General features: G+C 47.6%; 1 protein-coding gene across 1 annotated transcript in view, besides 1 other annotated feature; it reads left to right on the top strand.

Moving 5' to 3' along the window:
- Positions 1–6,031: 6,031 nt before the first annotated feature.
- The window catches only part of LMOD1 (leiomodin 1), a 50,093-nt gene continuing 42,318 nt past the window's right edge, over positions 6,032–13,806 (top strand). Inside the window, exon 1 of the mRNA NM_012134.3 lies at positions 6,032–6,500. Coding sequence (NP_036266.2) covers positions 6,240–6,500 — 261 coding nt within the window. The 5' untranslated portion in view covers positions 6,032–6,239. The remainder of the gene's footprint in view (positions 6,501–13,806) is intronic.
- Positions 10,180–11,129: an enhancer, noted in NCBI's record as "H3K27ac-H3K4me1 hESC enhancer chr1:201910579-201911528 (GRCh37/hg19 assembly coordinates)". NCBI's record gives its function as "activates a minimal SCP1, AML or CMV promoter by ChIP-STARR-seq in naive H9 embryonic stem cells {active_cell/tissue: H9 hESC(naive)}" and the evidence as "EXISTENCE:reporter gene assay evidence [ECO:0000049][PMID:30033119]".

Here is a 13,806-nt window from a genome sequence, read left to right as displayed (position 1 = left end):
TTCTTCGGCCTTTTCAATGCCCAGCCACACTGAGGAGGGCAATCTACTTTGCCGAGTCTACCAATTCAAATGCTATTCTCATCTGGAAACATCCTCATGGACACACCCAGAACAACATTTAATCTGGGCACCCTATGGCCTACTCAAGTTGACACATCAAATTAACCATCACAGTGATAATGAGTTTCGGAGTTTACAAAGCTGAAGTCCAGTTTCTAGGTTGTGGTTCCCCAGCTCATTTAATTCCAACAGTCCCTATCCTAAAGGAGTTTACTGCTCTGGGAAGCTCCGCTCAAGTGGCCAAAGAAACTTTAAGGAAAGAGACTTCTTACTCTTTGCTCTCTTTTAATTGCAACAGATAACAGAACATTTTTGGCTGGGCAAGGCCCAGGAGAAAGATGTCACGTCTTCTCAAAAATATTCACTTCCATTTGGTTCCAGGGTGCTAAGTGAAGAAATCTTTTGAAAAGGGTTCAAAAGAAGCCTTTTGAAAGGTTTAGAAGGATTGGTACTCTAATCTCCCCCTAGTTAGTCTTAAAGAATTCTGAGGGACTGTGGTGGCCCTCACTGATGGAATGGTCAATGATACGAAGGCATAGTAGAAGAAAGCAGTGGAGGTCCTTGAGAGAAAAGTCACCATAAAGGTGAAGGGCGTTTGAACTTCTGATTCAACATACCAGTGTATATTCTATTGAAAGTTACTGTTCTGGGCTCAAGATAGGACTGCTGCTAGAGCCCCATGTGGTCCAGGTACTCAGTAGATCAAGCTTCATTGAGCCAGAGGCTGCTGTGGCCTAAGGAACTCCATCCACTAAGTCACAGGTCATGTACATGGCACCAAACCCACAGTCCCACCTGGTCCATGTCATGGAGAAATTCAGATTGGCGTGGATAAGTAAGCCTCCTGTTGGGTTTGGGTTTTAGTTTGTGACCAGGGCTGATTTGGTAGACAGAGGGGTTTTAGCTTAGGTAACATTGGTGGAGGTGAAGGAGGCAATCTCTTGTCTCTTTGCTGCCCCCTTTTTCCTCCCACTGCTCTCCTCTCAGGAAGACATTAGTCTGGCCTGTGCTCTGTCTTGAGCTCTCCTCTGCCCATTTCTGCTCATCTCAGGAGTGCTGGGCCAGGCCAGTGGCTTGCTCCCAGAGGCAAAGTCTGCTGCCTTCTAGGGGAACTGTCAGCATCCCCCAAAAGGAAAGAACCAGTGTGAAAACTTCTCTCTTTTGTGGTCTCTTTCAGGACCCTGCCATAGTCATTCTATGTCAGCATATCTCCTGATCTTTGCATGTATATACACATACATATAGCTATATAATTTAACTATATAGCAAGCATCAGTGAGTGCTTAAAATATGTCCGATGCTGTTAAGTACTTTGCATGCATTATCTTATTTAATATGCTCAATAATTCCATAACTATGAATTAGGGTTTTTTTAAATTTTAGATTATTTTATTTTCGTTATTATTTTTTGAGACAGTCTCACTGTGTCACAAGCTGGAGTGCAGTGGGATGATCTTGGTTCACTGCAACCTTTGCCTCCCAGCTTCAGGTGATTCTTGTGCCTCGGCCTCCCAAGTAGCTGGAATTACAGGTGTGTGCCACCACACCCGGCTAGTTTTTGTGGGGTTTTGCAATGTCGGCCAGGCTGGTTTCAAAATCCTGGCCTCAAGTGATCAGCCCACCTTGGCCTCCCAAAGTGTTGGGATTACAGATGTGAGCCACTGTGCCTGGACAAGGTTTTTTTTTTAAGAGATGGGGTCTCACTCTGTTGCCTGGGATCATCTTGACTCCTGGCCTCAAACATTCATCCCACCTCCTCGGCCTCCCAAAATGTGGGGATTACAAGCATAAGCCATCATGCCCGGTCTGGTTTTTTGTTGTTGTTTTGTTTTGTTTTGTTTTGTTTTGTTTTGTTTTAGAGACGAGTCTCACATTTTCCCTAGGCTGGACTCAAACTCCTGGGCTTAAGCAACCCTCCCGCCTCAGCACCCCAAGTAGTTGGGACTACAGGCACACATCACTGCACCCAGCTCGTAGATGCTCTTAATATCCTCATTTTCCATTGCCTAAGGCTCAGAGAGGTTAAATAACTTACTTAAGGTCACACATCTCAGATTTGAGCCCATGTCATTTGACTCCAGAGCCTGTAGTCTTATCTGCTATACTATACTGCCACCCTATATTCCTGAAAATGTGACTTTCCTGGGGTCATTCAGCCCAACTGAGAGCCACCTAAGCATTAATTAAATTGGTTCTGGATCCTCATTCTTCCCTCCTGCCCTGCACCACATTTTGATTGGAGCTTTGAGTCTCTTTTCCTTCTTTTCTCTCCCCATCCCTCTAGCGACAACAGTGCTTGTTTTTCTCTGGGGAATAGACAACGGCCAGGGTCCTGATACCCAGGATGGATTTGTTTCAGGTGGAAGTTGATTCTGAGCTGGAACAACCAGTGCTCCCTACAGAGTGGGTCGGGCAGTGGCCTCTCATTGTAGGGGCTGGAGGTGGCTGTACTCCCTGGCCTCTGGGTTCCCAAATCCTCCAGCTCCAGCTGTGATGCCTTTCAAGGGAAGACTTTTGGAGTCTGTGAGCAGTGTCAGGGAGCTCTTGGGGCTCCAGGGAGTAAAAAGCTTCTGACTGAGTCATGTCAGAAGAACCAGCGATTTGGAATTGGGAGACCTGACACAGAGAAGATACTGGGGTTAATGTGTAGAAACCTTTGGTTAGGAGGCATGAGTCCTGCCCTTTACATTTGAAAGCTATGGATTTATTTTTTTGAGTGTCTTCCTGGAGCAGAGACCACTGGGCCCAAAAAAGAAAACCACTGAAACCAGATGGTACAGGGCTAACCCTGGGGCTGAAGGTAGTGATTTGCTTTTAGGCCCTGACTGCTCCTCAGGGAGCAGTGAATATTTTTGGCAAAAAGCCTGAGAAAGAGTCCTTGGAAACTAGAAAGAGAATTGCTTTCAGCTGACTGGGAGGCTAGAGGTTGGCTGAGGTCCTAGAGCCAGGGACCCCAGAAGATGATGCTTTTTTCTGGGCAACACTGAGGGTGAAGGCCAGCTGACCCAAAGGGGGTACAGGGGGAGGGGATGGGCATAGGGAGTGCCATGTCCACCCAACATACCTAACTAAAAGCCCACTCCAGCATGGCTGAAACCCTTTGTTATGCCCTCTGAGATGACCACCCTGACTCCTCCCCACAAAATTAATGTGTCTTCCACTGGGTTTTTTAACAGTTGGACCTCTCTGCAAGACTCCTTGTACCTCTCTAGCTTGCTTCACTTTGCCTTACAGTGTAGTTATTATTATTTTTTACCCCATTGAATTATACATGTTTAAGAGAATAACAATGTTGTAATGACAATGTTGTAGTGCCTGGCAGGATGCTATATATAAATAGTAGTATCTGAATAAATGTTTGAATGAATGAATGAGAACCAGGTGAGAAAGTGTGTGTGTGTGTGTGTGTGTGTGTGTGTGTGTTTAGAGGGTGTTTACTCTTGAGAGAAAGAAATAAAAAGATGAGAGAAAAGGTGGGATGGGAAGAAAAGAACCCAGGACAAGAGTAAATAAATAATTATAGCCAGGCGCTGTGGCTCACGCCTGTAATCCCAGCACTTTGGGAGACCGAGGCAGGTGGATCACCTGAGGTCAGGAGTTCAAGACCAGCCTGACCAACATGGAGAAACCCCATGTCTACTAAAAATACAAAATTAGCCGGGCATGGTGGCTCATGCCTGTAATCCCAGCTACTTGGGAGGGTGAGACAGGAGAATTGCTTGAACCCGGGAGGCGGAGGTTGCAGTGAGCCGAGATCGCGCCATTGCACTCCAGCCTGGGCAATAAGAGTGAAACAGAGTTTCCCAATAAATAAATAAATAAATAATTATAATAATTAATAATAAATATGGTGTTTACCATGTACTGGGTATATCAATGAAATGTTGTCATGTGTAGGACCTAATTTAATATTCACAACAATTGTATAAGGTTGGTATAACTGTTGTCCTTATTTTACAGATGATGAACTCAAGTCTCAGAAAAGAAGGTAGCTTGCCCAAGTCACATGGCCTGTAAGTAGCAATACCAGGACCAAATACAGGTCTATTGGCCTCAAAGGCCCAAGCTCTTCACTGTTAAATCATACTTCTATTCAGCCTCCTCTTGTTGTGTTTTCCCATAGCCCCTGTGCTTGCTCGCTCTTTCTTTCTTTCTTTCTTTCTTTCTTTCTTTCTTTTTTGAGATGGGGTCTTACTCTGTTGCCCAGGCTGGAGTACAGTAGCGTGATCACAGCTCACTGCAGCCTCAACCTTCTGGTCTCAAGCAATCCTCCCACCTCAACCCCCTGAGTAGCTGGGACAACAGATGCTCACCACCACATCAGGCTAATTTTGTTTTTTTTTTTTTTTTGGAGAGATGGGGGTCTCATTATGTTGCCCAGCCTGTTCTTGAACTCCTGGACTCAAGCAATCCTCTTGCCTTGGCCTCCCAAAGTGCTGGGATTACAGACATGAGCCACTGCACCTGGCCTGATTTTGTATCTTTAGTGATATCTCTTGCTCTTAGAACAATGCCTGATATATAATAGGCACTTGATAAATCACTCAATAAATATATACCTACGGTTTGACCAATAAGTTGGCTACTGACTCTTAAAATGACAACCCCCAGGTTTCCCTAAAGTCTTCTTCCACTCTTCCTATCAAGTCTGCCTGCCTTCCTTCTGCCCTTCAGTCCCCCCAGTGGACACCATTCCCCTCTTCAGCCTTAACCTAAAGTTGGACTAGTGGACATTAAATGGCACGGCCAAGTTTTAGTCCCAGACGATCCCTGGACTCAGCAAATGCTGATCAAGTGACTGTCTCTCTCTGGCTTAGGATGGAAAGATGCCAGGAAAGATCGAAGCATCTACCCTGATGGGTTACACCAGGGCTTCTAGAAGGGATTTTGTGGCAGGAGGAAGGGGGGCAGGGGATTGAATGTCTCTGTGACTTGTGCAGGGCAGCATGATGGATGAGCAGTGGAAAGCCCTTCTATGAAACATGCCAGACCTGTTGCAATCGTATCTCTCCCGACGGCCCAGAATTCTGTTTCCCTGAAGACATACTAAATCGTGCTCTGGATTTATATGTGGGTGGTGACCTGCCTCTGTGCTCCCAAAGGAGGTCTGTCTACAGATGCCCGGCAGAGGAAGAAACAGATGACAACAGGGGGAGGTTTGAACCCTCTTCCCAAGAGCCTTGGAACTTCATGGAAAGTGACAGCCCTTTAAGAGTTTCCCGACTTCTGCAGATCCTTCTCTCTTTCCCAAACAGCCTGCCAGTTTTCAGTTTTGGTACACAGTAAGGATTTATTCTCTCTCTCTCTCTCTCTCTCTCTCTCTCTCTCTCTCTCTCTCCCTCTCCTGCCTAGCTATCTCTATCTCTAAGTTTGTCTTTCTGTCTCCTGTCTCTCTCTTAAGAAGTGGCCAAAGGATCCTGGAGCCTCTGATGCTCAGCCTTCAGGTCCTCCTTGGCAGAACCTGGGTAGAAAGAAAATGGGTAGGCAGGGGGTTAGGAGTAACAGCTCCTCATCTTGAATCTAGACTTTCCTGGAGCTGTATACACCTGGGAGCCCCCCAGCACATTACCAAATACTGTAGAAGGAAGTCCATGAACCACACATTGACCACAGTGATACGTCCACCCGGTGATGGAGTAGTAAAATACGCTCTTGAACGTGCCCCGGGCTGGCGAGTTCACCGGCCCTCATGGCCTCGTCCCTGCTTGTCTGGCTCTCCGTGGCTGTGATCTGCTTCTGCCAGCCTACGCATTTTTGTATCTTTTTCTCATTGCGTGGCCCCTTGTCTTTAAAAGGCTAAACTGCTCTGTACTAAATTTGGTCACGCAGCGCTCCAAGATTCCCTGGAATGTCCTCAAGTTTCAAACAGCTCTGACAGCGAGGTAGGCCCGCCCCCAGCTTGGGGATTGGCTTCTCCTCTCCGGGCCTGGCAGTTGTCGGGTCTTATTGGCCGCTGATTAGACCAGCCGGGGTCCACTAGCCCTGGGCTTCAGGGAGGCTGCTGCGTCCAGTGAACACTTCAGCACCTGTAGCACAGAAGGGCCAAGGAGCTGCAGTCCTCGACCAGCAGGAGGTTTGCTCCTCAGCCCACTCGCTGCATCCAGATCAGCTCACCCCTCTCCCTTCCCTGCCCACCAGGACTCTGATAGCCCCTGGCAGCCACAGCCCATTTTGCCAAGATGTCTAGAGTAGCCAAATATCGCCGGCAGGTGAGTGAAGACCCCGACATCGACAGCCTGCTGGAGACCCTGTCTCCCGAGGAGATGGAGGAGCTGGAGAAGGAGCTGGACGTGGTGGACCCAGACGGGAGTGTTCCCGTGGGGCTGCGGCAGAGAAACCAGACGGAGAAACAGTCCACGGGTGTGTACAACCGGGAGGCCATGCTCAACTTCTGTGAAAAGGAGACCAAGAAACTTATGCAGAGGGAGATGTCCATGGATGTGAGTGAGCACAGCCCTGGAGGGGAGGAGGGAGACAGGGGAGGGCTGGAGACCCTGGCTTCATGATTAGGATGCTTCCTTCCTTAGAAGAAACGTTCTTGTTGGCAAAGGATTTTAATGCTTCAGAACTGATGATTATCCACTGAACTAGCGGTGCGAATCTCTTACTCCTAATTTCTGTTTTATAAGCAGAAGTCGGATATGTTGGAGGAACACAACATCCCACAAAATCAAATAGAGCTACTAGTAGAATGGGAGCTGGAAGGTGTCCTTGAAGAGTCCATTGTCAAGTTGACTCCATCCTGGTCCCACAATACCTTTGTTTTTCTCCACACTCATTCCATCCTATTGTGAGGAGGGGTAAAAAGAGAGAGTGATACTTTATGTCTCCTGTCAGCCACCCAAAAAGACAAAGCTAAGCCATTTTTTGTGGGAGAATAACTCATTTTCAAGTCCCCAACCCTATGGGCATCTCACGGCACATGGATCATTTCAGGAGGCTTGGGGGTAAATGAGTTTCCCAAAGCAAAGGGAGACAGGGACCAGGAGTCTATGGGCTGGGAAATGTGGCTTAAAGACCTGATAAGCTTCAAATTTATTCCCAGGGAAGATGTTTTTTGTTGTGGTTAGTTGGTTTTTGGTTTTGTTTTGTTTTTGCACTCTCCAGAGGAGCCTCTGGAGGGAGCATGCCCTCTTTTTGGTAATTAACCCTTTAGCAGCTGGCGAGGCCGCTTTGCTGGGGGTTGAAGATAGTCATAGAGGAGGGAAAAGGGGTGACGGTTTTGGAAGCATCTGCCCACACCTACAATGGGCTTAAGCACAACTTGCTTTCTGTTTTCCTGAGTTGGCATGGAGGAATTTTTTTTTTGTCACTATTGCATTGGTATGTGAGTTTTCTTTGGACAAACTAGCCTCCGATGAAGTATGACTTTGTGGGATACCTTTGTCCATGGGAAAGAGTGTTGCATAGGAAAATTGTTCAAGTCTTTGTTCTAGTTCTCTTATTCAGCCACATCTCTTGTACATTATCCATTACTTGTGAATTCTTGCAAGAAAAAGATCAGTCTCAATTCTTGCTTTTTGTTTTACTTCTATGGAAACTGAGGCACAGAGCTTCAAATGACATGCACATTCTCACAGAGGAACTGAGAATGGGAACATTATCATCCAAAATGCCTGCGGAATGACTGGCTGGGTATGAAATTGTGTTGACTGCTAGTCACAGAGCATATTGGTGGACACAGCCCTGACTCCTTTAGTGTAGCAATGGGAAAGAAGGGAGGAGGAGGGAAGGGGGTGAAGCAAAGAGGAGCTGGAACTCTGTCTCTGTCCCTACCGCCCCCCCCCGCCCCACCACCTATGTTTAAGCCTTTGCCAAGAAGAGGGAGAAGGAGGGAGGAAGGAGGGAAGCCAGGAGGCTCAGGAATTTATTGTCCTGTATGCACAAGGTGGTTGCCCCAGATGCAGCTATGATAATGATAAATAAAACCAAAACATTTACAGAAAAAGTGGTAGCACTTACTGTGAGGGCCCGGTACCCCAACACAGCTATCAGGAATCATACAGAAAGAAATGAAATGCAGCCAAAGGCTTTGGCACCCTTGGAAATCGTTGACTCTGCTCTTCCCCACTCCCAGTCGCAGGCTCTGGGCCCATGACTGCCTTGTGTCCGGTAGCTTCCAGTGCTCAGAAAGGTACTCCTGAGGCTGAAGTCAAACAAAGCAGTCTAATCACAAGCAAGAGTGTGAAGGATTCTCCTGTTCCTGGAAATTTCACTATCATAGACTTTTTATTCAGCCAGTTAATACCGTGACAAGTGTCTCCTCCCCTGCCTCACCTCTCTCACCCCTGCCAGGTCCACACTTGGTTCTGCGGACAGAGCCCGAGTCAAGAAATAGAAGTGGTGTGTGTGTTTGTGTGTACATCCTTGATGTAAGGAGATGCCTTTAGGTCCGGTTTTCCCTTGTGGATGTAGGCTGTTCTGATCCCCTCACTCTTCCTCACCCTGTCCAGGGACGTACATTGGCATAATGGCTGGCTGGAGTTCGGGGTGCATGCTGAGCCTGGGCAGAAGTCATCTCTGTAAATCTGGGTGAGAATGAACCCTAGAAGGTGGCTTCTTTGGCACCATTAACAAAATAGTGAGTGTGTGGCCAAGAACTTGGATTTAAGTATTAGAAAAACCTGGTTTGAGTAATGGTGTCTCTGTGTAAGTCACAAGTTACCTAATCTAAGCCTCAGTTTCATCACCTACAAAATATGGATAGTAGTACCCATCTCACAGGGTTGTGAACACTAAAAGCGGTGCTGCGGTAGAGCACTTAGCACAGAGCTTGGCGTGTCATAAACACTCAGTCAAGGCCAGCTATGAAATTATTACTTCATCTGAGTCAAGGAACCCAGAAACCGGTGAAGTGGGCCGAAAGCAAATCTCTACTCCTGTCCAGCCCCTCTCTTCCCTCAGTTTCCTGAGGGCTGTGCAAGCCTCACCTGTCAGTTTAATGAGTGGCCCGAGTAAACAAGCAACCCCTGGGTGCTCAGAGTGGGGACCACCAACACCACAGACACAGCACCGTGCTGGGGGCAGGTGGACTCCAGGCTGCTGGCCTGGCTGCAGCCCTCACTGACGGTGGCCTTCACTCCATGTGAGGAACTGAAAAGTGGTCAAAACAGAGAGTAAAGCAAGATGAGCATTTACTAAGAAACTTCTACATGCCGAGCACATTCACCTTTTCTTTAAGCCTTACGATTCTTGGGAGATGTGTATTTTTATTCCTATTATCTTAGAGAGGTTGAATAACCTTCCCAAAGTCACACAGCTAATTAGTTGAGATCAGTGCTTCTTCCTCTCTGCCATACTAGGGTGCAAAAAAGACAGTAATGTCAGTCCCTGCCCTGAAGAATTTGTAATCCAATTAGATTCCATGCAAAACACACATGGATAGAACCATCAGAGAGTGCTACAGAGCAGAGACCACAAATTCTTATATTGGCTGATATAATAGTCTTCTGTCAAATGTTCATCTCCCTGCCCCCATGAGTAGGAACATAACTAGAAAAACTAAGTGTGGATTAGGGAAAGTAAATCCTGACTAGATAGTGGATGCTGTTAAGGAATTTCTATTAATTTCTTTTAGGTGTGATAATGGCATTGCAGATATACTTTTTAAAGGATTCTTTTCTTTTAGACATAAATACATAAATATTTATGGGAAAAATTTATTGGCTTTGGGAATTAGCCTTAAAATAATCTGGGTGGGGGTATATATAGATGAAACAAGATTGGCCACCAGTTGACAATTGTTGAAGCTGGGTGATGGGTCTACATGGGTGTTCATTATATTATTTTTTCTACTTTTGTATGTATGTTCGAAAATTTTCATAATAAAATTTAAAAAAAAAAAAGAAAGAAAGAAACCAACATTGGGAGGTTGGCCTTAAGACAGTCTTAAGGTCTGTCTTTTCCCCAGAAGGACAGCCCCAAGATGCATACTCTGGCTATTGTGCAAAGTGAGTCTAGGCTGCCAGAGGGCCCTTGGCCTGCTTCTCCCTCCAGGGTCTCCCTCCAAGGGATGGGATATTCCAGAGATCCTCCTGATTGTTTACCATCTTTTTCATGAATATTCCACCCTTGCCTCTTCCAGGTCAACTCCTATTTGTTCTGCCTGTCTCAGGTACCACTTCCTCCAGGTAGTCTTCCAGGACTCCCTCAAGGTCAGGCACCTTGTCTGAGCGCTCCAATACCAGTCTGTACCAAAGCCCTTGGGACATGACTTTTGTATAATCATCTGTTTTCTTGGGCTGTCTCACTCACCAGCTTGTGGGACTTGGAGGGCAAAATGCAAATGCAGGGCCCAGCACACAGCAGGCCTTCAGCCTCTGTTTGTTGAGTGAATGTTAGCAGGGGATTGGGGAGGGTAGAGGTGGGACTTGGAAGAATTGACCCCAGCTTCTCTCCCTCCCTTTAAAGGGCCAGACCTGTCAGCCAGTGTAGCTCCGCCCTAATCATCCGGGAACTCTCCTTCAGCCCAGGTAGAAGACAAAGCCCCTGGGCAAGCTGTAGCCAACGGTTCAGTGAAACTCTTGTCCTTGTCTCAGGTTTCAGGAACCGGATCCCAACCGGTCAACTTGTGTGTCCTCTTTCCTTCCCAAGTGGGAAAGAAAATCTCCAGCCTGCCTCCCCCTCCCTTCTCCCTGGTGTTAGCAGGGGCTGGGGATTAGCGCCTGTACCCAGCCAGGGTCAGGGCAGCTGAGCTGGTGGGGGTGGAGGAAAGCTCTCCCTAGAGGTAAACTCGAGAAGCAAACCCGAAGCAACCTACTAATAGCGGCTGCTGGGCCTGAGCCCTCCTGACCTTCCACTCCCACTGCCTGCACAGCCTCAGCAGCCCCCTCCCCCATCGGTTCTAGTTCACAGCTCAGTGTCCATGGTATCTCTACGGGGCCGGGAAGGCCCGAGGCCGGCGGCCTAACCCTCAGAATGCCCTTTGCAGAGGGTTGGGACCTATCAGGAGTGCACTGAGCAGCACGGCTCAATGCTTAAGGAGATTAACCCCAACTGGTACACACCCAAAATAGCCCTGGAGGCTAGGGTGAAGAGGGCAGAAGAGGTGACGGGGGCCTGTTGACCCAGGGAGGCAAAAGCAGGCACCGGAGAGGGTTAGACTGTTAAAATCTCGCCCTGAAATTTGAAACTGCCTCCATCCAGAGTTTGAAAAAGCAACTGCTTGTTTCTTAAACTAGGTGGTACAATCCACAGGTGTTTGTTTTAAATATTGTTATTATACGTTTTCTTCTGTATGTATATAATATTTAAAGAATTTTGAGGGCAGGTGTGATGGCTAATACCTGTAATCTCAGCACTTTGGGAGGCTGAGACAGGAGGATCACTTGAGTTCAGGAGCTCGAGACTAGCCTGGGCAACATAGCAAGACCCCATCTCTAAAAAATTAAAAATTAAATTAAAAAAAAAGAATTTTACCAGCCTGGCCAACATGGGGAAACCCCATCTCTACTAATAATACAAAAAAAAAAATGGCCAGGCACGGTGGCTCACACCTGTAATCCCAGCACTTTGGGAGGCCAAGGCGGGTGGATCACCTGAGGCTGGGAGTTCAAGACCAGCCTGACCAACATGGAGAAACCCCTTCTCTATTAAAATACAAAATTAGCCAGGCATAGCGGCACATGTCTGTAATCCCAGCTACTAGGGAGGCTGAGGCAGGAGGATTGCTTGAACCCGGGAGGCGGAGGTTACGGTGCGCCGAGATCGTGCCATTGCACTCCAGCCTGGGCAACAAGAGCAGAATTCCGTCTCAAAAAAAAAAAAAAAAATGCTGGGCGTGGTGGTGCATGCCTGTAGTCCAGCTACTTGGGAGGCTGAGGCAGGAGAATCACTTGACCCGGGAGGCGGAGGTTGCAGTGAGCTGAGATCGAGCCACTGCTCTCCAGCCTGGCTGACAGAGCAAGACTCCATCTCAAAAAAAAAAAAAAAAGACTTTGAGCAAGTGAGGCATTAGTGCCTGCTCCCACCCTCAGTGCTGCCCTCTGGGTGCCTGCCTTCTCCTTACTGGGACAGTAGGTATAAGAGCTTGGTTAGGCCGGGTGCCGTGGTTCATGCCTGTAATCCCAGTGCTTGGGGAGGCCGAGGCGGGTGGATCACGAGATCAAGAGATCGAGACCAGCCTGGCCAACATGGTAAAACCCCATCTCTACTAAAAATACAAAAATTAACTGGGTGTGGTGGCGCATGCCTGTAGTCCCAGCTGCTCGGGAGGCTGAGGCAGGAGAATCCCTTGAACCCAGGAGATGGAGGTTGCAGTGAGCCGAGATCGTGCCGCTGTACTCCAGCCTGGCAACAGAGCAAGACTCCATCTCAAAAAAAAAAAAAAAAAAAAAAGAGCTTGGCTGGATGGAAAATGCAAGAGGGAGGCAGGACAGATGGACAGGACCAAGGAGCACTTGTAAAATAAGATGGCTCACCAGTGAGAGCGGGATATAGATGGTTAAGAGGTGGGGTCTGAGTCCCACTAACCAAGGGGAGGTTGCTCCCAGCATCAGAGAAGGCTGGAGGCTTCAGGGATTCTGGGAGCTTCATGGTCCCCAGGCTGGGACAAGAAGGTGAGGACAAAGCCCCGGTCTTATCTGTCTATCCTCCTTCAGTCTCTCTTTCTCTCCCCCAGGAGACTTTAGAGTATCTTTGTCAGACCGTGTCAGCATATCTACAGCTGGGCCCAGAGTGTGCAGAGCCTGAATGAAGCACACCAAGAGATAGGCAGTCTACACACATGTGTATACACACACACACACACACACACACACAGCAGGAGCAGAGGAACAACACACAGCGCCATGCATGGGGGACAGGAGTGGCGACGCTAATATTTACATGCCTGCCAAGTTGGATAAACAGGAATATCCTGAGCCATAGAATGCAGGCCTTTCCAGATCAGGCCCTTCCTTATTTATTGGACCACTTTTGTTTAACCAGCAAAAGAGCAGTGGTCTCCATTCGGTTCATCAGTTCTCCCAATGGCTTGTTAGTGTCTGGGCAGTGCGGTGAGACAGAAAGCCCAGGGGTGTCTGGAATCAGATAGGTCCAGGTTTGAATTCTGCTCCTGCCCCTTACTGATCCAGTGACTTGGAATAAGTTACCCAAGGAAGAAAGAACATTAACTTGATTGAGTGCCTTCTGGAGCCAAAGGCTTTATCGATGCTATCTCATTAACATAGCTTCTTGAGGCCCAATTACTTCACCTGTCAAGTGGGGATGATAAAATCATCCTTGAAGGGTTATAGTGAAGATTAAATAGGATGAGGCATTGAAAGTGTTTGGCACATCACGAGAGACCTTCTTTCCTCACTCTAAACTCTTCAGAGTTTGTACCTGTATATCTGCCAAATCAACATTATTTTATCTCTCACGAAATTAAAAAAAAAAAAAACCATCAGTGAGTGTGAAGGAATGATGAAGAGAGAGGGGAAGGGGAGGAAGGAAAGCAGGGAGGCAGGGCTTATGTAATTACTCGCTGCCTGGCCCCAGCAGCCTGATTTCTTTGAGCCTCTGCCTAATTTATTTTATGTCACAGGCTCAGGGGCCCAAACTGAGTTGCTGGGTTGGAAAAAGACAGAGTGAAAGGAGATTAGGAGAAGATTTTGAGGTGGATTCTCCTTGTCTGCAGGCTTCCACCCCAGCACAAGCTCAGAAAAGCCAAGGCTGCTTTGGGAGAACTTGGCTTCAGCTGTCCCTGGGGCCCACTGCAGAAAGAACAAGCCGGGTTGTCGGGATGCTGTTTACAAACAGCTAGGA

This window comes from Homo sapiens, chromosome 1, assembly GCF_000001405.40.
Source record: "Homo sapiens chromosome 1, GRCh38.p14 Primary Assembly".
NCBI lineage: Eukaryota > Metazoa > Chordata > Mammalia > Primates > Hominidae > Homo > Homo sapiens.
Note: the sequence above shows the minus strand (reverse complement) of the source record. Positions and strands in the feature narration are given on the sequence as shown.